The sequence below is a fragment of the Homo sapiens genome, chromosome 19, assembly GCF_000001405.40.
Source record: "Homo sapiens chromosome 19, GRCh38.p14 Primary Assembly".
Classification (NCBI taxonomy): domain Eukaryota; kingdom Metazoa; phylum Chordata; class Mammalia; order Primates; family Hominidae; genus Homo; species Homo sapiens.
This window is the reverse complement of record NC_000019.10, coordinates 42620085-42645057: the sequence shown is the minus strand read 5'-3', so window position 1 is coordinate 42645057 and position 24973 is coordinate 42620085. Positions and strand designations below refer to the sequence as shown.

General features: G+C 44.1%; 1 long non-coding RNA gene and 1 pseudogene across 2 annotated transcripts in view, besides 2 other annotated features; one reads left to right on the top strand and one right to left on the bottom strand.

Annotated features, from left to right (window-relative positions):
* LIPE-AS1 (LIPE antisense RNA 1) overlaps positions 1-24973 on the bottom strand; it is a 255208-nt gene that overhangs the window by 7298 nt on the left and 222937 nt on the right. The gene's annotated exons all lie outside the window — the stretch shown is intronic.
* CEACAMP1 (CEA cell adhesion molecule pseudogene 1) lies at positions 11922-24885 on the top strand (annotated as a pseudogene).
* Positions 15823-17022: an enhancer, noted in NCBI's record as "CDK7 strongly-dependent group 2 enhancer chr19:43132188-43133387 (GRCh37/hg19 assembly coordinates)". NCBI's record gives its function as "activates an origin of replication core promoter dependent on BRD2, BRD4, P300/CBP, MED14 and CDK7 cofactors, with strong dependence on CDK7, by STARR-seq in HCT116 cells {active_cell/tissue: HCT116}" and the evidence as "EXISTENCE:reporter gene assay evidence [ECO:0000049][PMID:35650434]".
* Positions 16142-16211: an enhancer, noted in NCBI's record as "active region_14722". NCBI's record gives its function as "activates an Ori minimal core promoter by ATAC-STARR-seq in GM12878 lymphoblastoid cells {active_cell/tissue: GM12878}" and the evidence as "EXISTENCE:reporter gene assay evidence [ECO:0000049][PMID:35858748]".

Below are 24973 nucleotides of genomic sequence, written 5' to 3'. Positions count from 1 at the left end.
AGAGTCTTCACAGCACCCACAACACATTTGGGGACCACTGGGCTACAAAAATGATGAGGAAGGAAGCTACTATGTGCTGGGAACCTTTATGTTTGCACCTCATCCAATGTTCACAATGACCCTTTCAGTAGGCACTATTATCCTTCTATCCAAAGACATCAATAAATTGTCCCTTATATCAGACCTGATAAAAATTGGAAACAAAACTCAGACTCACTTATTTCTGAATCTAAAACTTCTGCTTTTAGCAAAAGAAACTATCAACAGAATAAACAATGTACAGAATGGGAGAAACTATTTGCAAACTGCATCTGATAAAGGTCTAATATCTATCAGCTATGAGGAACTTACACAAATTAAAAAGAATAAAACAACCAGTAGAAAGTAGACAAAAGATATGAACAGACACTTCTCAAAAAAGACACACATGTGGCCAACAGCATATGAAAAAAAGCCCAATATCACTGATCAGTAGAGAAATGCACATCAAAACCACAATGAGATACAATCTCACACCAGTCAGAATGTCTATTATAAAAAATGCAAAAGATAACATGCTGTCAAGGTTGTGGAGAAAAGGGAACGTTTATACACTGTTGGTGGGAATTTCAACTAGTTCAACCACTGTGGGAAGCAGTGTGGCAATTCTTCAAATAGTTAAAAACAGAACTACCATTTGACCCAGCAATCTCATTACTTGGTATATACCCAGAGGAATATAAATTATTCTACCATAAAGACACATGCACACAAATGTTCACTGCAACACTATTCACAATAGAAAAGGTATGGAATCAACCTAAATGCCCAACAATGAAAGACTGTACTTTTATATGTGGTACATATACACCATGGAATACTATGCAGCCATAAAAAAGAATAAGATCATGTCCTTTGCAGGAACATGGATAGAGCTACAGGATATTAACCTTAGCAAACTAATGTGGGAAAAGAAGCCGAATAGTACATGCTCACTTATATGTCTGAGCTAAATGATGAGAATACATGAACACAAAGGGAAACAACAGACACTGGAGGCTACCAGAGGGTGGAGGGTGAAAGGAGGGAGAGGAGCAGAAAAAAATTACTATTGGTTACTAGGCTTAGTACCTGAGTGATGAAATAATCTGTATATCAAATCCCTGTGACATGGGTTTACCTACATAACAAACCTGCACATGTAACCCTGAACCTAAAATAAAAATTTTTTTAATCCCTATGAAATTCAAACATCAATTTAATCTCTAATCCTTCTCCAATTAAAATTTAAAAATTTTTTTTACAAAGGAAACCTTTTTTCCTTTTTTTTTTTTTGTGAGATGGAGTCTCACCCACTGTGTCACCCAGGCTGAAGTGTAGTGGCACGATCTTGGCTCCCTACAACCTCTGTCTTCCGGGTTCAAGCAATTCTCCTACCTCAGCCTCCAGAGTAGCTAGGATTACAGGTGTGGACCACCATGCCCAGCTAATTTTTATACTTTTTTGTGGAGGCAGGGTACCACCATGTGGGCTAGGCTTGTCTCAAACACCTGACCTCAAGTCATCCACCCACCTCGGCCTCCCAAAGTGCTGGGATTACAGGCGTGAGCCATCATGCCTGCCCTAAAAAAGGAAAACTTTTAATAAGCATACTAAATTGGCTTTTTTTCTAAAATATAATAATAATAAAATAAAACTCACGTTTCACTCCACACCATTATATCTACCAGAATTCAAAGTGTGGAAAGTTAGCTGCTTCTAATAGAAATGACCATACAGGATTCAATGAAGAGACAGAGTCTGAAGTGGGCCTTGGGACAAAGAACAACTCAAGAGACTGAGAAGACAGGCAAGGGTGCTATATTAACAAGGAAAAGAATTGGAAAATGTTTAGACATGATAAAGTAAAATGTGGTCCTTCAATGCAGATCAAAGAAGTAGATTGATCAAGGGGCCATTCTATGAGGGCTTTGAATGGCAGGATAAGGAATGGGAACTTCATCCTGTAGATAAGAGAAGTCACTGGAAATCTTTGAAAAGGACACAAATATGATAAACAACATTCCCAGGAAGATTATTCTGACAATTAGGCAAGATAACTTGGGAAATGGTCTTAAACTCTGGCAACTTGATGAAAATATCTGGAAGATTTCTTCTCCTTTTTTTCCTTTTTCTATTTTGAAATACATTCAAACTTTCAAAAATATCCCAAAAATAGTCAGAGTCCTCAAATGCTTTTCATTCAACTTCCCCAAATATTAACATTATAGATATCTACCCAATCATCAAAATAATAAATGATCTCTGACACTGCACAATTAATGAATCTATAGACCTTATTCAAATCTTCCCTATCTTCCCACTGATGTCCTTTTTCTGGACCATGATCCAATTTAGGATCACAAATTGCATCTCTTTGTTCTGTCCTCTCAGTCTCCTTTAATCTGGGATAGTGCCGAAAATTTCTTTAGAGTTCATGACCTTAACATTTTTGAAGAGTATTGGCGAGTTATTTTGTAGAATAACCCTCAGTTTAGGCTTTTCTAATTTTTTCTCATAATTAAACTCAGGTTATGCACTTTGGGCAAGAATACCACAGAGGTGATGCTGCGCGTTATTCATCCATCATATTAGGATGCCCTAAGATGTCCATGTCACTGATTACTGGGGATGTTAATTTTGAGCACTGGGCTAAGATTGCTCCACTGCAAAATTACCATTTTTCTTGGAAGCATTTTTTAAAAACCAGTGCCCAGGACATACCACACACCAATCAAATCAGACATTCTTAGGGGAAGTCACATGCATGGGTAGGTTTTAGATGCCTTATGGTGACTCTAACCAGTATCCATGTTTGGAAACCTACAGCTTAGACCATGAAGATTAGAATCCTGGAAATCAGCTAGGAGGCCATTCCTTCGACCGCTCTTTTTACAAGAACATCCAATTCTAGACAAATAAATACATCTGGACATTGGCATGGACCCACAGTAGAGAAATGGAAAGGTTAAAAATCCCCTGATGAGGCTGGGCACAGTGGCTCACACCTGTAATCCCAGCACTTTGGGAGGCTGAGACAGGCGGATCACGAGGTCAGGAGATCGAGACCATCCTGGCTAACGCCGTGAAACCCCGTCTCTACTAAAAATACAAAAAATTAGCTGGGCATGGCGGTGTGCACCTGTAGTCCCAGCTGCTGGGGAGGCTGAGGCAGGAGAATGGTGTGAACCTGGGAGGCAGAGTTTGCAGTGAGCCGAGATTGCGCCACTACACACCAGCCTGGGCGACAGAGCAAAACTCCGTCTCAACAAAAAAAAAAAAAAAAAAAAAAAAAAATTCCCCTGATAGGGAAAGTAATGAGTGAGTAGACTGCTGTCCCATAAAAAAAAGAATGCAGGGCCAGATGTAGTGGCTCAAGCTTGTAATTCCAGCATTTTGGGAGGCCAACGCTGGTGGATCACTTGAGCCCAGGAGTTCAAGACGAGCCTGGGCAATATGGTGAAACCCTATCTCTACAAAAACAAACAAAACACAAAATTATATGGGCATAATAGCACATACTGTGGTCCCAGCTACTCAGAAGGGGGAGTTGGGAGGATCACTTCAGCCTAGGAAATCAAAGCCACAGTAAGCTATAATCACACCACTGCAAATTCAGCCTGGGTGGGAGAGCAAGACCCTGTCTGAAAAAATAAATAAAGATAACATTTTAAGATAAGATCTAGTTCAAAAAATGCATCACATTTTAGGTTGTTTATATGCTACAATCAGAACAGAACATGGAGGTGTTTCCATATGAATAGCCAAAAGATTTTCTACTTTTTATACAGCCGTATCATATTCCATTGTGTAGATATAAAATAACCTGTTTAATTAGCATTATACTGGTGTAAAATCTAGGTTCTTCTCAATATTTTGCTGTGAAACCATCACTACAGTGAATAACTATGATTAGGTGTCATTTTTCATTACTGCAAATGTAATAAATTCTTCCCAGTGAAGTTTGGGAGGCAAAGAGAAATATATTTTAAATTTTGACATGCATTTAGAAATTTTACTCCACAAGGTGTGTACCAATGTTTATGTTTCCAAGAAAAGTAGGGGATGGTGCTATCACCTCAGTTGCTCCCACACATTATGTGATCAAACATGTGTATTTGGGGACATTTGAGGCTGAGGTTGTATTTTAACATTTGCTGTCCCTGGACCTCAAATTTCATTTCTCCTGTGTATAGGAGGCTGAGTTGTGTTCATATGTCTAAGAGTCATTAAATCAATCTAGGTGTCCATCAAGAGTAGATTAGATAAGGAATCCCTACCTACACACCATGGAATACTAGGCACCCATTAAAAAAGAAAAAAAAATCATTCCTTTGCAGCAATATGTTCACAGCTGGAGACCATTATCCTAAGCAAATTAACACCGGAAGAAAAATCTAAAAACCATAACCTGATAAGAGGGAGCTAAACATAGGGTATTCAATGACATAAAAAATGGCAACACCCCCTCTGCCTCTCCACCTCCCCACGGTCTCCCTCTCCCTCTCTTTCCACGGTCTCCCTCTGATGCCCAGCCGAAGCTGGACTGTACTGCTGCCATCTCGGCTCACTGCAACCTCCCTGCCTGATTCTCCTGCCTCAGCCTGCCAAGTGCCTGCGATTGCAGGCGCGCGCCACCACGCCTGACTGGTTTTCGTATTTTTTTGGTGGAGACGGGGTTTCTCTGTGTTGGCCGGGCTGGTCTCCAGCTCCTAGCCGCGAGTGATCCGCCAGCCTCGGCCTCCCGAGGTGCCAGGATTGCAGACGGAGTCTCGTTCACTCAGTGCTCAATGGTGATCTCGGCTTGCTACAACCTCCACCTCCCAGCCGCCTGCCTTGGCCTCCCAAAGTGCCGAGATTGCAGCCTCTGCCCGGCCGCCACCCCGTCTGGGAAGTGAGGAGCGTCTCTGCCTGGCCGCCCATCGTCTAGGATGTGAGGAGCCCCTCTGCCTGGCTGCCCAGTCTGGGAAGTGAGGAGCGCCTCTTCCTGGCCGCCATCCCATCTAGGAAGTGAGAAGCATCTCTGCCCTGCCGCCCATCGTCTGAGATGTGGGGAGCGCCTCTGCCCCGCCGCCCCATCTGGGATGTGAGGAGTGCCTCTGCCCGGCTGCGACCCCGTCTGGGAGGTGAGGAGCGTCTCTGCCCGGCCACCCTGTCTGAGAAGTGAGGAGCCCCTCCGCCCGGCAGCCGCCCCGTCTGAGAAGTAAGGAGCCCCTCCGCCTGGCAGCCGCCCCGTCTGAGAAGTGAGGAGCCCCTCCGCCCAGCAGCCGCCCCATCTGAGAAGTGAGGAGACCCTCTGCCTGGCAGCCGCCCCGTCTGAGAAGTGAGGAGCCCCTCCACCCGGCAGCCGCCCCGTCTGGGAAGTGAGGAGCGTCTCCGCCCGGCAGCCACCCCGTCCGGGAGGGAGGTGGGGGGCAGCCCCCGCCCGGCCAGCCGCCCCGTCCGCAAGGGAGGTGGGGGGTCAGCCCCCGCCCGGCCAGCTGCCCCGTCCGGGAGGGAGGTGGGGGAGTCAGCCCCCCGCGCGGCCAGCCGCCCCATCCGGGAGGGAGGTGGGGGGTCAGCCCCTGCCCGGCCAGCCGCCCCGTCCGGGAGGGAGGTGGGGGGTCAGCCCCCGCCCGGCCAGCCGCCCCGTCCGGGAGGTGGGGGGCGCCTCTGCCTGGCCGCCCCTTCTGGGAAGTGAGGAGCCCCTCTGCCCGGCCACCACCCCGTCTGGGAGGTGTACCCAACAGCTCATTGAGAACAGGCCATGATGACGATGGCGGTTTTGTGGAGTAGAAAAGGGGGAAAGGTGGGGAAAAGATAGAGAAATCAGGTTGTTGCTGTGTCTGTGTAGAAAGAAGTAGACATGGGAGACTTCATTTTATTCTGTACTAAGAAAAGTTCTTCTGCCTTGGGATGCTGTTGATCTATGACCTTACCCCCAACCCTGTGCTCTCTGAAACATGTGCTGTGTCCACTCAGGATTGAATGGATTAAGGGCGGTGCAAGATGTGCTTTGTTAAACAGATGCTTGAAGTCAGCATGCTCTTTAAGAGTCATCACCACTCCCTAATCTCAAGTACCCAGGGACACAAACACTGCGGAAGGCCGCAGGGTCCTCTGCCTAAGAAAACCAGAGACCTTTGTTCACTTATTTATCTGCTGACCTTCCCTCCACTGTTGTCCTATGGCCCTGCCAAATCCCCCTCTGCGAGAAACACCCAAGAATGATCAATAAATAAATAAATAAATAAATAATTTTTTTTTAAAAATGGCAACAGGAGAAGCTAGGAACTACTAAAGGGGGAGGGAAGAAAGCAGGCAAGAAATGAAAAACGAAATGTTCAGTGCTATGCACAATACCTGGATGAGAGCACCATTTGTACCCCAAACCTCAGCATCACACAATATACCCAGGGAACAAACCTGCACATGCACCCTCTGAATCTAAAATAAATGTTGAGACAAAAGGAAAGTTTTACAACTTTTTGGCCTCAGAGATTTGTAATCAATGTGGTGAACCTATTTATATGTAATCAATACATCAATTCAAACAGAATTGATATCTTTAGAAAATTTATTTTTCTGATGCATAAATATGGTATAGTTCTCCATTTAGTAAGGCCTGCTTTAGTGTTTCTTGATTGCTATAATTTTGTCTGAAGAGATTGTGTGCATTTTGGTTTTGGTTGAATTGATTCCTAAATATTTTATATTCTCTGGCACTATTATGTTCTCTTTAATTACACTATCTAGTTGTTTGTTGTTAAATTAACATATTTTAGTCTATTCTTATACTACTCAGCTCCCTAAACTCTCTTATTATTTCTAATTATTTCCATTAGACTATTTTGAATCTTTCTATATAAACAATGTTATTCTTTGAAATTAATGATGGTTTTATTTCTAGTTTTTTAATCCTCATACCACTGATTTATCTTTCATTTCTTATTGCTTCAGGCTAGGAACTCTAATATGTTAAATAAACATCATGATCTTGAAAACAGTGAGCATTAACATTTCTTCTGTGAACTGATTTTCATATATTTGCCTTCTGCTATTCTTTAGTCTTGTTAATTTTGAGTATCCTTTATATAATAGCACATTACCTGTTTATTATAATGGCAAATAGTTTAAGATAGTATTTGTTTTCCTTAAAGAGAATTTTTTGACGTGAAGACTCTTTTCGAAATTTTCATGGGTATCAATCTTTTCTTCCTTGGCTATACAATAACAAAGTCCTTCCCCACTTTGAGGTGCTTTGGTGGCTTTGATTTGACATTTAAGTTTTATTCATTTGGAACATGTCCAGGAATATGTTGTTCTGTTCAAGACAGTTGCTAGTTATCCACCTAACACTGTGAATGTCCATGTTGTCCACAATAAGTCACTTTAAAGACTTTGTCAGTACTCAAGGAACATGCCTAATCTCTACAAATGATACACATTTCAACCACACAATCAACAGGCAATGACGATGGCACACTACAGCCAAATACCCTGCACCATAGACGTTCTCTTCAAGTCCACAAGGAACATTTATGAAGACTGGGCTTACTCATATATTAGCAGATATTATTGAATAATTTTTACTCAAGCACATATTTTGTATACAGTTCGATCTAGATGTAATCGCTATAACATAAATTTTAGAAATTAGAAAAATTAGACATCTGGGGATTTTCAAAGCACGGGTCAATCAAGACACAGTGATGAACATATTAAGTACCTGGTACTTGACTAACAGCTACATCTACCAAAAGTCGTAAGATGCAGCCACAGTGATGCCCCAGGGAATTCACAACCCAAAATGCTTCCACTGAAAACATTGATTAAAAATGAGTTAATCATCCAAATAAGAAGTGAGTGAAAAACAAAGCAAGTAGAATAAAAGTGTAAGAAACTTAAAGGTAGAAAATAATAAACTAGAAGACAAATTTAAAAACCCAAAGCATTCAAAAGGTTATTTAAACTTCTGGACTAATTCATCAACAAAGCAATAGAAGAAGAAGAAATAAACTGCGTTAGCAGTGAGAAAGAATGGGTATAAACGCAGCTGTGGCAGGGTTGAAAGCTCCTATTTAATAAATGGTATTGGGAAAACTGGCTGGCCATATGCAGAAAACTGAAACTGGACCCCTCCCTTACATCTTATACAAAAATTAACTCAAGCTGGATTAAAGACTTAAACGTAAGACCTAAAACCGTAAAAACCCAAGAAGAAAACCTAGGCAATACCATTCAGGACATAGGCATGGGCAAAGACTTCATGACTAAATCACCAAAAGCAATGGCAACAAAAGCCAAAATTGACCAATTGGATCTAATTAAACTAAAGAGCTTCTGCACAGCAAAAGAAACTATCATCAGAGTGAAGAGGCAACCTACAGAATAGGAGAAAAGTTTTGCAATCTATCCATCTGACAAAGGGCTAATATCCAGAATCTACACAGAACTTAAACAAATTACAAGAAAAAAATCAAACAACCCCATCAAAAAGTGGGCAAAGGATACGAACAGACACTTCTAAAAAGAAGACATTTATGCAGCCAGCAAACATATGAAAAAAATCCCATCATCACTGGTCATTAAAGGAATGTAAATCAAAACCACAATGAGATACCATTTCACACCAGTTAGAATGGTAATCATTAAAAAGTCAGGAAACAAGAGATGCTGGAGAGGATGTGGAGAAATAGGAATGCTTTTACACTGTTGGTGGGAGTGTAAATTAGCTCAACCATTGTGGAAGATGGTGTGGCGATTCCTCAAGGATCTAGAACCAGAAATACCATTTGACCCAGCAGTCCCATTACTGGGTATATACCCAAAGGATTATAAATCATTCTACTATAAAGACACATGCACACATATGTTTATTGCTGCACTACTCTCAATAGCAAAGACTTGAAACCAACCCAAATGCCCAAATGCCCATCAATGATAGACTGGATAAAGAAAATGTGGCACATATACACCATGAAATACTACGCATCCATAAAAAAAGATGAGTTCATGTCCTTTGAAGAGACATGGATGAAGCTGGAAACCATCATTCTCAGCAAACTAACACAGGAACAGAAAACGAATCACCGCATGTTCTCACTCATAAGTGGGAGTTGAACAATGAGAACACATGGACACAGGGAGGTGAATATCATGCAATGAAAAAGTAAAACTGCATGCCCTACTTGGGAACAGAGAGGGAAAATCCACAAATGAAATATGACCCCAAAAAAGTCAGGATTTACCACATTGAGTTTGTTCCCCAAAAATGAAAGGTGAGTTTAACACCCAAAAGTCAACAATTGCCTTTACTTCAAAAGATTAACTAGAAAAAAAATTATTAGCAGAACAGAAGCAAAATGACCTTGCATGAAATTCCACATCATTCCATCCTGATGCAGACAGTGCAGACATGAGTGGCAAATGATGAAAAGAGGTCCCTTTTTTCAGGCCCTGAGAGGAGCCTGCACCTGGTGGCTGCCACATTCCTTCTGATTCTTCCAGGCAACGGCCCTCCTTGAAATCCCTGGGAGGACTCGTGCTCCACTGGGAAAGGCCCCATGTGGAAAGCTCCACAGCAGCTCTGTCAAAGCCCTCAGGCACAGATCCTGAGTGACAGGACCTTTAGGGACACAGACAAATGGACATGTCCCCAGTGCCCACACTAGGCAGGGGCATCTGGACCAAGTGTGAAGCTCCCTCACCTGGACCCAGCCTCTCCCCAGTGACTTGGGCCTTGGGGTGGCTTCAGGTCTCCAGTCCATGCCACCAAAATCTCCAGAGTGACAGTCCTCCCTGGGGTCCATGATGCCTGTCCAGGTGCTGCTGCCTGAGTAAAGCTAAAGAATGCGGAGGGCTGGAGTTGTGACAGTAAAAGCAGCCATATTTGTCTCAAAATTGAAAGGGAGGGCATGAGCTCCAGGAATGGTGAGGGTGCCCTCTAGTGGTTCCCTCCTGCTAAGGAGCAAAAAGGGGCCAAGAGAGTTGAGAGATCAGGGCTGGCCTTGGACTAAGTGTGAGTTCAGATGGAGGGAACTAAGGTGCAAGGAGGGAGCTGAGATGGGAAAGCAGTCCAGAAAGATGAAAGGATCAGGTCTGGGGAAGACCCAGGGAAGCTAAAGAAGGGCACAGCAGGGTTCTGCACTCCTCAGCATTGACACAGGGGTGGTCATGCTAATGGGGCTCTGTGAGCAGCAGGGTGTTCAGCACCCTCTGGGAACTCTACCCACTCAATGCCACAGGACTCCCTCCCCCAGTTCTGTCAACCAACAATTTCTCCAGACTTTGCCAAATGCCCACTCAGAGGGCAAAAGTGGCCCTGACAGAATCAGATCTACACTAACCTCTCAAAGCAACTCACCAGTAAAATCCTTCATCTCTTGGTGAAAGAATTGTGAGTATGTGAGGGGTACAACTGACATCTTCAGTATCTGTTGAAATGACTTTTACTTAATCAGCAATTTGATGTCACGGGAGAAAGCATGTTTAGAGCTGATGCCACATTGCTGCCTGTACCTCGCAGCAGAGAGGGTACGGGTTTTCCAATGGTCTGTAACCACAAACCAGAATGACACCCACTGAGTTACATTACAAAACGGAATATGGAGAATTCTGTAGATATGGGGTGGGAGAAATAAAGCATGAAACCACACCACAAGACACCAAACAGTCCACTCTGATGTTCTCACCATTTTAGGCCATATTAGCTATCTATGAATGAAAAGTCAATTATCTTATTAAGAAAAAATACCTTATGCAGAATAAACTTATAGCATAGGAATTTCTGTACATTTTCAAAATTGTCTACTGTTGGATCATTCCTTAAATATGAATCCATCCCAAAATTCCACCCCATCTGCCCTCTCAGGTGTGAGCAGTGACCCCCACATGGGGTCTGCTGCCACTGCCTGTTCTTCCTCTACACTGAGGGCCTTGACAAGGTCAAAACCCTCAGGACAGACCCCAGGGAATGTCAGCACAGGGAGGGCTGAGCCCATCCTGGCCACAGAGTAAGTCAGATTGAATGTCTTCAGCTCTGAGCCCCTGCTCTGTCCCAGGTTCTCTGTCCTGGGTCTCAGAGAGCCATGTCCTGTGAAGTCCCTGGGCAGCCCCCTACTCCCTGCTGCATCAGCCTTGGGGAAGGTGGAGTGACCACAGGACAGTCAGCTGGGCAGATGACGGGACACCAAAGATAGTCAGAGAAAACATGAATGGGCCTCAGCCCCAGCTCAGCAACCAGAACCCAGGGTGCAAGAGAGTGGCTGAGACCAGTTCCTGGGACCACAGCCCCCACTGACCAACCAGCAGAGGCCTCTCTTCCCAGAAGGCATGAGAGATTCATCCTGCACACCTCCAGGAAGGACAGTCTCTTCTGGGACACCCGGGTCATTGAATGTCCATCCTTGGAAACTGTAGCCAATATTGACACAATGAGAAAAAGGGTCCCTCTCACCAGCCAGCACTCAGCTCACCCAAAGCACAGTGAGGGTAGATCCCTGTGACAGGGCCCTGGTGCAGTCCAAGCCTCCTGCTCTGAACGGAAGAGCCAGGTGGGGATGGAAGAGGGCAGAAGGGGTAACTGTGCAGGCTGACCTGGAGCCATAAACATGGCTGGATGCTGAGGACCCAGAACTGGGCTCACCCAAACTACAGGGTTTCTGTGTGACTATGTGTATCTGTGTGTCTCTTTGTGTGTGTGTCTGTGTGTCTGCACATAGCATGTGTAGAGGTTGGGTGAGAGAATCACTGCTGAAGGAGGCAGAGGCCTCAGCAATTCCCAGGGGCCTGAAACACAGACAGAAGAGAAAGGTAGAAAAGAGACAGGGAGGCAGGACTGAGAGGGGAGGGGACAGAGAGGTGTCCTGGGCACAGACCCCAACCATGAGCCTGAGAGGCGCTCCTGCCCTGGGAAGAGGCTCAGCGCAGAAGGAGGAAGCACAGCACAGCTGACAACCATGCTCAGAAAGTTTCCGGATCCCAGGCTCACCTCCACAGAAGAGAACACACAGGCAGCACAAGCCATGAGGCCCCTCTCAGCCCCTCCCTGCACACAGCGCATCCCCTGACAGGGGCTCCTGCTCACAGGTGAAGAGAGAACTTTCTGGGAGTGAACACAAGGAGGAAGCAGAGTGACTGGCTGGGGTCTCCTGGGGAGGACAGAGCTCTGAGCGGGGACTGAGGGCTTCTGTTGGAGCCTGGATACGGGAGAGGACACCAGAGAGGAACAGGGGTCACAACAGGAAAATCATATAAAACTGGAACTGGTAAGAGGTAGGAAAATCTTAAGTATTCTGTTTTCCTGGTTAATCATCACTGGCCACTAAATTTTGAAAAATGATAATAATAACTATATCAGATGACACTTCAAATAAAAACATAACCAGGGCATGAAACATTATCCTCAGCCTCCAACCTCAGAAATTGGTCCAGGACATGGAAGACCTTGGGAACGCTCATGAGCTCATCCACAGGAGTCTGCAGCCTGTCCCAGGAACTGAGGTGCAACCAAGATCACACAAGACCCTGCTCTCACAGAGCTCATGCTTTCATGGGAAGGAAGACAGACATGCAAAGAGATCTAGAATGTGAGGTCAGGTGTTGACAGGAGTTGTGGAGTAAACAGAACAGGGAAAGGTCAGCAAGGGAAGACCCAGGGTCTCTAGAGGAGGTGTCAGGGGAAGAGTCTCCCAAGGATGCCTGATGTGAGCAGGACCTGAGGGCAGTGGGGAGGGGGCCGAGCAGACCCCTGGGGAAGAGGATTCCAAACAGGAAAATGCCAAGGTCAGAGATGTTGAAGGAATGGGGATCATGCTGCTAACCTTGACTCAGTAGGACACACACACACATACATACTCAAAGGCTGAGGGGTGAAGAGACCTTCTCAGGACACAGGGCCCCATCTTTCCCCCCCAATACATAGGTCCCAATGTTGACTGATGCTCTCTCTCTCTCTCCTAGCCTCACTTTTCACCTTCTGGAACCCACCCACCACTGCCCAAGTTACAGTTGAAGTTCTGCCATCTAATGCGGTAGAGGAGAAGGAGGTTGTTCTACTTGTCTACAATCTGCCCCAGGATATACTTGGCCACAACTGGTACAAAGGGGAAACAATAGATGCCGACGACTGAATTGCAAGATATGTAATACACAATGAAGTAACTATCCCAGGGCCTGCATACAGTGGCCAAGAGACAGTATACCCCAAAGCACGCCTGGAGATCTGGAACATCGCCCTGAATGACTCAGGATCCTACACCGTGCAAATTTTAAAGGCAGATCTTATGACTGAAAAAGTAACTGCACAGATCAGCGTACACCGTGAGTGATTCCTCATGACTTCTGGGTGTCGGGGGTCAGTTCTACTTCAAACACACAGGACTGTTAGACCTGGACTGTGCCTGTGTAGCCCTCTGCATTATGTCCCATTTTAGGGTTTGAGCATTTAGTGCAGGACACACACAGGGGAGACAAACATCTGCAGATCAAAATTGTTTCCCCAAATCCAGACCCTGCAGACATTCACTGCAGAGGAAGGACAGTCTGATGGGAGGGACACAGCAGGTGGAGAACAGTCTCAGCCAAGCACTCCGTGCCTTCCCCATGGACATGACCCTGAGAAATTCCTTGGAGAACTGGGTCAGGGCCTGGCCTGGGGGGCCCTCGGGGATTCTCTTAGAGAAGTTCAACCCTGGAAGCCTCAGCCCCAGAACCCGGTCCCAGAATCCTGACTTCATGTGACCCTCGGGAATGTGTGCCAGGGTTAGGTTGTGGCCTCCTGGGCAGGGCTGACTGGGAGCAAAGGTTTACCAGCTGTACAAGGGCCATGGTTCCTGGAGCTGTTTAACAGCCAGGGCTCAGCACCCAGAGCCTCATCTGGGCATGGACAGAGCCTAGTCCTTCACCTGAGACTCAGAGTGCAGAGGACAGATGGACAAGCTTCTTAGGCCATCAGCCAACTGCCCTGGGAGACTTAAGAGACTCCGTAGATAATTCAATGTCTTCAGGGGCAGAAACAGAAGAGAGAAGATGTTCCTGGTAGCATCTTGTTCATCATGGATCAGGCCTAGATATGCTCTTTCATGCAGGCAAATAATAATAAACATTGTTTGTGTGAACACGTCCTCTGTGCCAAGCATTAGGTCAGGTGACTGTGAATAATTTAAACTTCATTCACAGACAACATGACAAGCCACAGACCATTTGCCATTTAGCTTATCTGACTGGGAGAAAACTGAGACACAGGGAGGCATAGTCACTGAACCAGGGTCACACAAACACAAGTGGCAGATCAGAGTCACTAGAGGTCTGGCTGCAGCCACAGCCCCATCCTCTCCTCCACCAGAAGTGGGGATTTGGGGGTCCTGGGGACCCCACAGTCATCCATTGGCTCAAATCCTTTCTTCATGCTTATCTAGACCTCAGAGGAGTGAGAGCAAATGGACAACTGATAAGTTTTTACTCCAGAACTAAATTGCCTGCCTCAATGATCAAAGTCAGTGCAAGGAATATCCAGTCCTCCCCCTCAGATCCTAATGCCCCTCACTGGACCTGAAATCTTGTATCCCAATGTGTTGGTGTCACTCCCATGGGAGGATAAAAGAGAGGTCATAGCTTTCTCTCCCCACTGGCACCCTGCAGCAGCACAGGCCCAATGTAACATACACACTCAGAAGCTTTCTCGTGAAGGAGGGAGGGAATGAATGAAGGAATGAATAATCTATAACCTCTTTAGATACCTGATTCTGGATACAGAATCCTAGGAGTTTCTGTCCACACTGGTTTTCTGTCCTTCAGGGCCTGAGACCCATGTTCTATCCCTATGAACCCCTACTCCTAAAGCCACCCCATCTCATGTGACACTGAGGCTCCCTGGGCATAGAAGGGTTTCCAGGGCTCCCTGGTCCTGGACTAAGGAAGTGGGGGCCCCTGGACCTTGAGGTCTTTTAGGTCACTGTAGCCCCCACTGCTCACTGCCATGGGTGTCTCTGCTCCTCCATGTCCCTCATTTTCCTCCCCCTTCATTCCAGCTACGATACTGCACCCTGCACAGCTTCCCCCACACGTAGGCCTTCCCCAGACACTCCCTCTAACAAGGCTGACTGTTCTGTTCCCTTCCTATTCACACTGTAGCCTGGCCCACCTCCTGGACAATAGGAAAGGCACAGAAATCAGCCAGAGCAGTCACCCCTGCCAGGCTCCATCATGAGCCAATATCCCCAGATCACCAGGAGAACAAGCTTCCACTGTGTCCCCATCCAGGGTTCTCTTCCTCCGTGAGCCAAAACATGAAACAAGCCACTGGAAAGAAATGAGCAACTCCTCAGTCCACTCTTATAATCACCTGATGGGTTCCTCTTGCACCCTGCACAGACAAAACCAATTTACTGAGATGGTGACTTGCAGTTACAAAAGATTTTAGTTAGGCAAAGACTGTCAAACAGGAGGACAGAAGTTTATTATTGTACAAATTAGCCTCTCTAGTGGCTCAGAAATTAGAGGTTTTCAAGGATAGTTTCAGCTGCAGAGGTCTAAGGAATGAGTACTGCTGACTGGTTGGGGATGAAATCATGCAGGTGGGGAAAATGATCTGTTTGTGTTAAATCTGCCTCTGGATGGAAGCCACATGAATGGATGAATCATTAATCATGGGTCTGGATGAGTTATGCTGGTTGCCAAAATGCAAAAGTCTGAGGAACATCTTAAAAGACCAATCTCAGGTTCTACAATAGTGATGTTATCTATAGAAGCAATTAAGGAAGTCATAAATCTTGTGACCTCTGTACACATGAGTCCTGAGCAGTAAGGAATTGCAGAAACTATGCCTACATTTTAGCAAAATTTGGGACCCTCCAATAATCTTAATCTCATGGTCTTTCATTAGTTTTACAAAGGCAGTCCCTGAGCAAGGAGGGGGTAAATTTTAAGGGGGACTATTATCATCATTGCTTCAAAGTTAAACTACAAATTCTTCCCATGGTTAGCCTGGCCTATGCCTGGGAATTAATGAGGATGGCCAGCCTGAAGCTAGAGGCTAGATGGAGTCAGCCATGCTAGCTTGCTCTCACTGTCATAATCTTTACAAAGGTGGTTTCAGTTTCTACACTGACTCACCACGGAGTTAGAGTCAGAAGCACAGGTCTGCAGTCCCCAAAGCTCATGGGCTCAATTTGTAACCACCCAGTGGGTTCACCTTGCCCACTGCCTAGACAGAGACAATTTATCAAGACAATGGATTGGCAGTAGAGAAAGAGTAATTCATATAGAACTGGCTGTGCAGGAGACCAGAGTTTTATTAGTACTCAAATAAGTCTCTGAGCATTCGGGCATCAGAGATTTTAAAGATAATTTGGTGAGTGGGAGAAGGCAAGTGAGTCAAGAGTGCTGATTGGTTGGGTCAGAGGTGAAATCATGGAAAGTTGAAGCTGTCCTCTTGTGCTGAGTCAGTTCCTGCATGGGGGCCACAAGGTCAGATGAGCCAGTTTATTGATCTGGTTGGTGCCAGCTGATCCACCAAGGGCAGGGTCTGCAAAATACCTCAAGCACTGACATGAGGGTCAAAATCTTGTAGCCTCCAGCTGTGTGACTCCTAAACCATAATTTCTAATCTTGTGGTTGTTAGTCCTACAAAGGCATTCTAGTCCCTAGGCAAGAGGGAGGTTTGTTTGGGGAAAGAGCTGTTATCATCTTGTTTTAAACTATAAACCAAGTTCCTCCCAAAGTGGTTCTGCCTATACCCAGGAAGGAACACGAACAGCTTAAAGGTCAGAAGCAAGATGGGGTTGATTCAGTTAGATCTCTTTCACTGTTTCAGTCATAACTTTGCAAAGGCATCTTCAATCCCTTCCTCTGAGTTTTAAGACACTTTAAGATTAAGGTGTAGGCTATGAAGATAGAAAAAGGTCATCAATTGCTCTGGCTTCCTGCTGACAGGGGACATAGTGGGAATGGGAGTTGATCCCAAGGTGAGAGGAGTGAAACCACTTTGCAGCTGTCTAAGCATACTCATGTGAGCCACGCTAAAGCTCCAAGGCTTGCATGACCAAGGCATTAGTACTCTCATTTACAGTTTCAGTATTTAAGTTAACAGCATAGTATAAGGTAAATAATGACTACTAGGATGAAGAGTACAATTCCCAATTTTAAAGGTAAAGTTTTGAAAGCTTTAGTTTGGGAACCTGAAGCCCACTAAGAATCTATGATTTGGTCCAAACTGCAGAATAAAACTCAAGAACAACCAACAACAGATGTACTATAGAATTTCTTTTAAAGCATAATTTTTCTCTCTCCAGACCCCATTTATTAAAAACAAATCATAATAGAAGTGTACTCTGGAATCCACTTATATGAGGTCCCTAGGGTAGTCAAACTCATGGAATCAGAGAGTAGAATGTCCAATCAGAGAAAACATTTGCAAAACTTCTTCCCAAATTTCTGTCTCATATCCACCAAATAAACATGATCTATGAGGGCCAGATTTCCAGCATTTTATGCTCCCCTTTTCCTCCAGTCAATTCTGCATTTGCGAATGTCTACATATATTTCTAGAAAGATCCACATGGTCCTCACCTGCAGGGGGAGAGAAAGCATCAAGGACCCAGGACAGGGAACGTGATTCTGATCCAAAGCTACCAGCTCTTTTCTGTTCTCTTCACTTTTTCTAGATCATTCCTTAGACTCTCCTCTATCTTTAGGGGTCACTGGCTCAAGTCAGTCACTATGAAACATCTCAGGAAAACTGCCCTGACTTGTGGCTCCACTGCCTGAAGACCAAACTGATCTTCAGGCTTGCCCCTGGTCTCCCCTGTGTTATTTCTGCTGAAAACATCTAGTTCCAGGCCAGGCTACCCAGTATCCACAGGGTTTAAGGACAATGGAAAGTCTATCAACACCCATCTCTAGGATGTTCTTGAAAGAGAAGTCACAGAGAAAACACACCTAGGAGGGCAAAGTAGAACTGAAGCTGGAAGGGGCCCAGCAGCTGCACGTTCCAGGTGAGGACCCTAAGTTGGGCCAGCCAGTCAGCTGGACAGGGAGAAACCAGGAGAGACACCAGGGGCTGTGACTGTTGGTCATGTGTCAGTCCATGACCCAACACTGCTGCTCAATTTACACTTCAGAAAGTCTATGCTTCTCTAAGACAGAACAGGTGGCCTCATGGTCTCTGAGCCCTCAGATTGCCATGCATCTGTTTTCTGACATACACACCTGCCATGGGCTTTCAAGGACTCAATTGGGCTGAGAGACAGGAAATTCCAACTCTGATCAAAAAGTGTCCATGGAGCGATAAAAGTTGCCACACAGGGCAATCTTCTGTTTTCTGCACAGCGAAACTATCCAAGCCCTTCGTCACCATCAGCAACTCCAACCCCGTGGAGAATGAGGATACTGCGGCCTTAACCTGTGAAACTGAGATTCAGAACACAACTTACCTGTGGTGGGTAAATGGTCAGAGCCTCCCGGTCAGTCCCAGGCTGAAGCTGTCCAATGACAACAGGACCCTCACTCTACCCAGAGTCACAAGGAAGGACGCAGGAACATATGAATGTGAAATCCGGAATCTAGTGAGTGCCAACCACAGTGACCCAGTCACCCTGAATGTCCTCTGTAGTATCTTCTGTTCCTCTGTAGCCCAGGCTGCCAGCCCAAATCCACATGGCCAGAGGCCAGGCCTCTCAGTCCCTCTCAGGTCCAAGTACAGAGACCTTTACTCCTGGGCACCCAGGCTGGCCATGACTTCCTGCCCCAGGCAAACCTGGGTAGGTCCAGCCTTGACCATGAATCCAAGGGGAGGGGCTGCTCCTGTCATGGGAGACCTCAGGGTCCACAGCTTGTAATGGGAGAAACAGGTGAATTCTCAGACTCTGGCTCAGTGACCACAGCGGGGGTTTGGCTGGGACTTCAGGGTTGTGACTTGGCTCAGAGGGACACTGTGGCTCTTCCACAGACCAGGAGCTTTTCCTTCCCTCTGATGACATGACTTTTGGCTCTATTTTCTTTGCTCCAGATGGCCCAGACGACCCCAACATTTCCCCCTCTTACTCCTATTACCATCCAGGGGAAAACCTCAACCTCTCCTGCAACACAGCCTCTAACCCACCCCCACAGTATTCTTGGCAGATTAATGGGAAGTTCCAAAAATCAGCACAAGAGCTCTTTATCTCCAAAATCACTAAAAAGAATAGTGGAATCTACATCTGTTTCGTTCGCAACTCAGCCACTGACAGCAGGTGTTTCACGATCAAGAAGATCACAGTCACTGGTAAGGGGAGCACTGGCAACAGGTTTTCAGGTGAAGTCTATTTGGCTTTCTGAGAAGAACCAGGAAAACATTTTTATTCCCAGCCTGTGTCCCATGGGCACAAGCAAATCCCAAATTTTTCTCCTGACCCCTCCCAATTCATCTCTACAGACTCTTCCTTTTGTTTTACTGATTTCTCACGGATGAACTCAGGTCCAGCCTGAGAAACGTAGGAAGGAGGCTTCATCAGCCCCAAGCCCAATGTAGTGGAAGGAGCTTTACAGAGAGGGAAGAAGGAGGGTCCTCAAGGTCAAGTTTCTTCTCTATTTTACCAACACATCCTTTTCTGTGCACCCCTTCGTTTACTTTTACCCACACTTGAGCTGCAGGGAACATCCAAGGCTTGAAACAAGCTCACATTTTTCCCTCAAATGAGAGAAGAAAGCCCCTCAGATGAGGAAGGAGTAGCTGAGACTCTGCTCCCAGCTGTGACTGGCCTTGCCCTGACTCTACCTGGGGTGGGGCTGGGGTGTGTCAAGAAGGTGCCCAGGTGGCCTGTCTGGAATCTGGCTAAACTGAGCTGCCAGTGGAAGCAAAGTTTTCCCCTAGGTGAGGATGTAGAAAAATGGGAAGAAAAGGAGCCTTGGGGCAGACTCCTGAGCTGTGTCCTGGTTCTGAAGTCACTGGCTGTATGAGGCTGTGAGCACAGCACATGGGACAAAGCACAGAGGACAGTGAGTGATGCACACTTGGAGACACACAGAGATGCATGGGAGGGAAAGGGCAGTACCAAAAAGTGTGTATTTATAGAGGGTAAGACTACCAGCCACTGTATACCCGATGTAAGACTTACCATTAACTATTTCTAAGTGTGCAATTTAGTGTTGTGTAACCATCACACTATCCATTTCCAGAACTTTTTCATCTCACCATACTAAACCTCTGTACCCAATAAACAGAAACTCTCACTCCTTCTCCCCCTAACCCTTGGTAACCATCATTCTACTTTCTGTCTCAATGTAATTGGCTATTCTATCTTTTTCTTTTCTTTTCTTTTGAAGACAGACCCTTAAGAGTAAGGGTCTGTCGCCCAGGCTTGAGTGCAGTGGCATAATCTTGGCTCACCACAACCTCTGCTTCCCAGGTTCAAGCGATTCTCGTGCTTAAGCCTCCTGAGTAGCTGGGATTATAGGCACACACCACCATGCCTGGCTAATTTTTGTATTTTTAGTAGAGACTGGGTTTCAACATGCGGGCCAGGCTGTTCTTGAACTCCTAACCTCAAGTGATCCGCCTGCCTTAGCCTCCCAAAGTGTTGGGATTACAGGCGTCAGCCACCTACAAATGAAATTATCTAATAATTGTCCTTTTGTGTCTGGCTTATTTCACTTAGCATAAATGTCTTCAAGGTTCCTTCATTTTGCACAACGTATCTGAATTGTATTCCTTGTTAAGATTGAATAACATTCCAGTGTATGGATATACCTCAGTTTTCTATGCACTTATCTTTCAATTAACTTTTCAGTTCAGTTCATCACAACAACCTGTTGGCTGTTGTCAGTGATGCTGCTGTGAACATCAGTGTACAAATATCTGTTCAAATTCCTTTCAGTTCTTTGGGTATATGTCCAGAAGCAGAACTGCTGGATCAAATGGTAATTCTTTAATTTTTTGAGAAACAGCCATACCATTTTCCACAGCAGTATAACATTTTACATTGCCATCAGCAATGCAATAGAGCTTCAATTTTTGCACCTACTTGAAAACACTTGTTTTGTGGTGGTGGTGTTGTTGCTGTTGTTTTATCAAAGCTATCCTAATGTGTGTGAGGTGGTGCATCCTTGTGGTTTTAATTTGCATATCCCTAAGTATTAGTGATGTTGAGCATCTTCGCATGTGCTTATTGGCCATTTGTATATCTTCCTTGGAGAAATCTCTATTTTAGTCCTTTGTCCATTTTTTAATCGGGTTTTTGGATTTTTGCTGTTGTTCATTTGTAGTAGTTCTTCATATATTCTGGAAATTAATTCCTTATCAGATATATGATTTACAAATATTTTTCCCACTTCATGGGTTGCCTTTTCATTTCACTTTCTTGATAATGTTCTTTGATATATAAAAGTTTTTAATTTTCATGAAGTCCAATTTACCCATTTTTTTAGTTGCCTATGCTTTTGTTGTTATAACCAAAAAATCATTGTGAAATCCAATGTCATGTAGCTTTTCCCCTATGTTTTCTTCTAAGAGTTTTATTTTTGCTATGACATTTAGGTCTTTGATCCACTGTGGGTTAATTTTTGTACATGGTGTTAGATAAAGGTTCCACTCATTCTTGCCCATTGCTATCCAGCTTGTCCAATATCATTTGTTGAAAAGACTGTCCTTTTTCCATTGAATGGTCTTGGCAGCCTTGTTGATAATCATTTGGCCATATATGCAAGCATTTCTTTCTGGGATCTCTATTCTATGCCATTGGTTTCTATGTCCTCCTTTATGCCAGCAGCACACTGTATTGATTACTGTGGCTTTGTAGTAAATGCTGAAATCAGAAAGTATGAGTACTTTGCCTTTGCTCTTCATTTTCAGAATTGTTTGGCTATTTAGAGCCCTGAGACTCCATATGAATTTTAGGATAGATTTTTCTGTTTCTACAAATAATGTTACTGGGATTCTGATATAAATTTCTTTGAATCTGACGTTTTTGGATAGTATTGTCCTCCTAACAATGTTGAGTCTTCTAGTCCATGAAAACAAAGTGTCTTTCCATTTACTGATGTCATTTTTAATTTCTTTCAGCAATATTTTGTAGTTTTCAGGGTAGAATTCTTTCACCTCCTTGCTTAAACTTATAAATATTTTATTCTTTTTGATGTTAATGTGAATTGAAATTTTTTTTAATTTCCTTTCAGATGGTTTATTGTTAGTTTATAGAAATATAACTAATGTTTTCACGTTGATTTTGAATCCCGCAATATTGTTGAATTGATTTATTAATTCTAATGGTTTTTTCTATCTTCAGAGTTTTCTAGATGTACATTCAAGTTATCTGCAAACAGAGATAATTCTACTCCTTTCCAATGTGAATGTCTTTTTTCTTCCTTGTCTAATTTTTCTGACTAGGACTTTCAATACTATGTTTAATGAAAGTAGATAAAGCAGGAATCATTGCCTTGTTTCTGATAATACAGAAAAAACTTACACTCTTTCTCCCTTAAGTATGATGTTAGCATTGGGCTTTTCACATATTACCTTTACTATGTTGAGGTGGTTTCCTTCCATTTATAGTTAGAATGTTTTTATTATGAAAGAATATTGAATTTTGTCAAATGCTTTTATTGGTTCAATCTTATTACTAATTGTATGTCTACTCGGGTTTTCTTGTGTGTTTCCAGAAATTTGTCCATTTCATCTAGGTTATATAATTTATTGGCATACATTATTCACAGTACTTTTGTAATCATTATTTCTTTAGAATTGGTAGTAATGTCTCCTAAGAGAGACAGGGTCTCACTCTATAGGCCAGCCCAGGCTGGAATGCAGAGGCACAATCATGGGTCACTACAGCCTCAACCTCTTGGGCTCATGCAATCTTTTTTCTTCAGCCTCCCAAGTAGCTGGGACTAGAGGTGCATGCCACTATGCCCTGCAAATTATGTTTTGAATTTTTTATACAGACTGGATATTCATGTGTTTCCCAGCCTGGTCATGAACTCCTGGCCTTAAGTGATCCTCCCACACACCTCTGAAAGTGCTAGAATTAAAATATGAGCCACCATGCCCAGACTCCATTTTCATTTCCGATTTTAGTAATTTAAATCTTCTCTCTTTTTTCTCAGTCAATCAAGTTAATGGTTGTCAGTTTTGTTGATCTTATTTTGAAGAACCAATTTTGGTTTCATTAATCTCTTCCATTTTTTTATTCTCCATTTTATTTATATTCACTCTAATCCTTATTATTTTTTTCATTCACTATGGCTGGGTTTAGTTTGTTCTTCTCCTATATCCTGAAGTTGTAAATTATGTTGTTGATTTGAGATCTTTCTTCTTTTCTAATGTAAGAGTTTACAGTTATAAATTTCTTGTACAAGATTTTTAACTTCTCTGAGCCTCTGATTCCTCAACTGAAATTTGCAATGAAAGTGCTTGCTTCATAGTATTGTTCTAAAGGTTTAATGTAATTATCAATGAAACCTTCCATAAAATGCAGAGGAAATGTCTTATAAATGTTACCTGCTTTATTACTACTATTAATATTAGCCTTGAAGTGAGGCCTAGAGTCAAATCTCAGATTCGCCTTTCACTAGCCATATGACATCAGGAAAGTTTCTTCACCACTCTAAGCCTCCAGCTTTTCGTCTGTAAAATGGAAACAATGTCTACCTGACAGGTTTATTGTACAAATCAAATAATATACAGGTAAAGTATTTACCACAGGGCCTGGCATATAGGAGGTGCCCCTCAACCGTAACTAACATAGCATTAATCACCAGCCTGAGTTGACTAGTGAGGGCTAAAAGTAAATGCTTGCAACAGAAATAAAGAAACAGATGCAAAAGGTATTGCGTGTGTGTATGTGTTTGTGTGTGTGTGTGTGTAGACAAGGTATTTTATGTAAATACACACACACACACACACACACATATATATACGTATATGGAAGCACAGGTAACACAGAAAACACTAGAACATGGTTACTGACTACATGTGGGAGAGAAAGAACAAAAGCTAAGTGCAAACAATCAAGCCTGGTATGTTCATTTTTACCCACTGAGATGCAGCCAAGATGGGATTAGATATGCAAGATAATTTATTAGGAAAAATGCAGGTGAGGGAAAGTGGGGCAGGCATGGAAGGAGCCTGGGAAAGCCCTCAGACCATGATGCAGACCTGATTCCTGTGAAGGAGAAAGACAAAGAAGTTTTAGGTATCAAGGCAGTTCTAAGAGAGTTTCAGCAAGGCTGATGGGGAGTCCTCCAACCAGTCACACATGAGAATAAAACAAAGTCTCACAGAACTGGGCTTGCTTTCATACCCCTGCTGGGAGTCCCTGAGAAGCAAGGTCTCTGTGCAAAGGAGTGGGTGAATTTGGAATGCGCTGACCTGAACCTTCTGTCAATCAAGTCCCTGCCATAGAGATCTGACAGGGTCTAATTCATGCCTGCCCAAACTGAGACACTGAGAAAAAAAGATGCAATCATGAAAAGGTGGAAAGTTCTAATGATGTAGAAAATAGCAATCAGCTTTTCTCATATCCCAAAGCCTTCAAAAATATCTGAGTGCAGAAAGGCCAGGACAGAATTGACAGAAGACTGATGGCCAACATAGAAACAGTGAGAAGAAGACAAATTTCAAGGATATAGTTGGCTAACCACCTCCCAGCAACTTTCCCACAAAAATAATGTATTCCTTGAAGAAACAAGTAGAAATTACTTCATCCTGAGAGTTGGCTCCTGGGGCACTCCACTGTAAAATAACATCACCTTCATTTATTCTCTTCTTTTCTTTCCATGACAGCTGCTTCAGGATAAGGAAGTTCTCCTGGCCTCTCAGCTGGGATCACTGTCGGCATCATGACTGGAGTACTGGCTGGGGTGGCTCTAATATAGCAACCCAGGTGTAGTTTCTGCATTTCACTAAGACTGGCAAGTATGATGGCCTTTCCTCTTGTCCTGTTTACTCCAAGGATGACTGCCATGCTTGGGAGAGGGAGAGAACTTCTTTGCCTGTATCTGG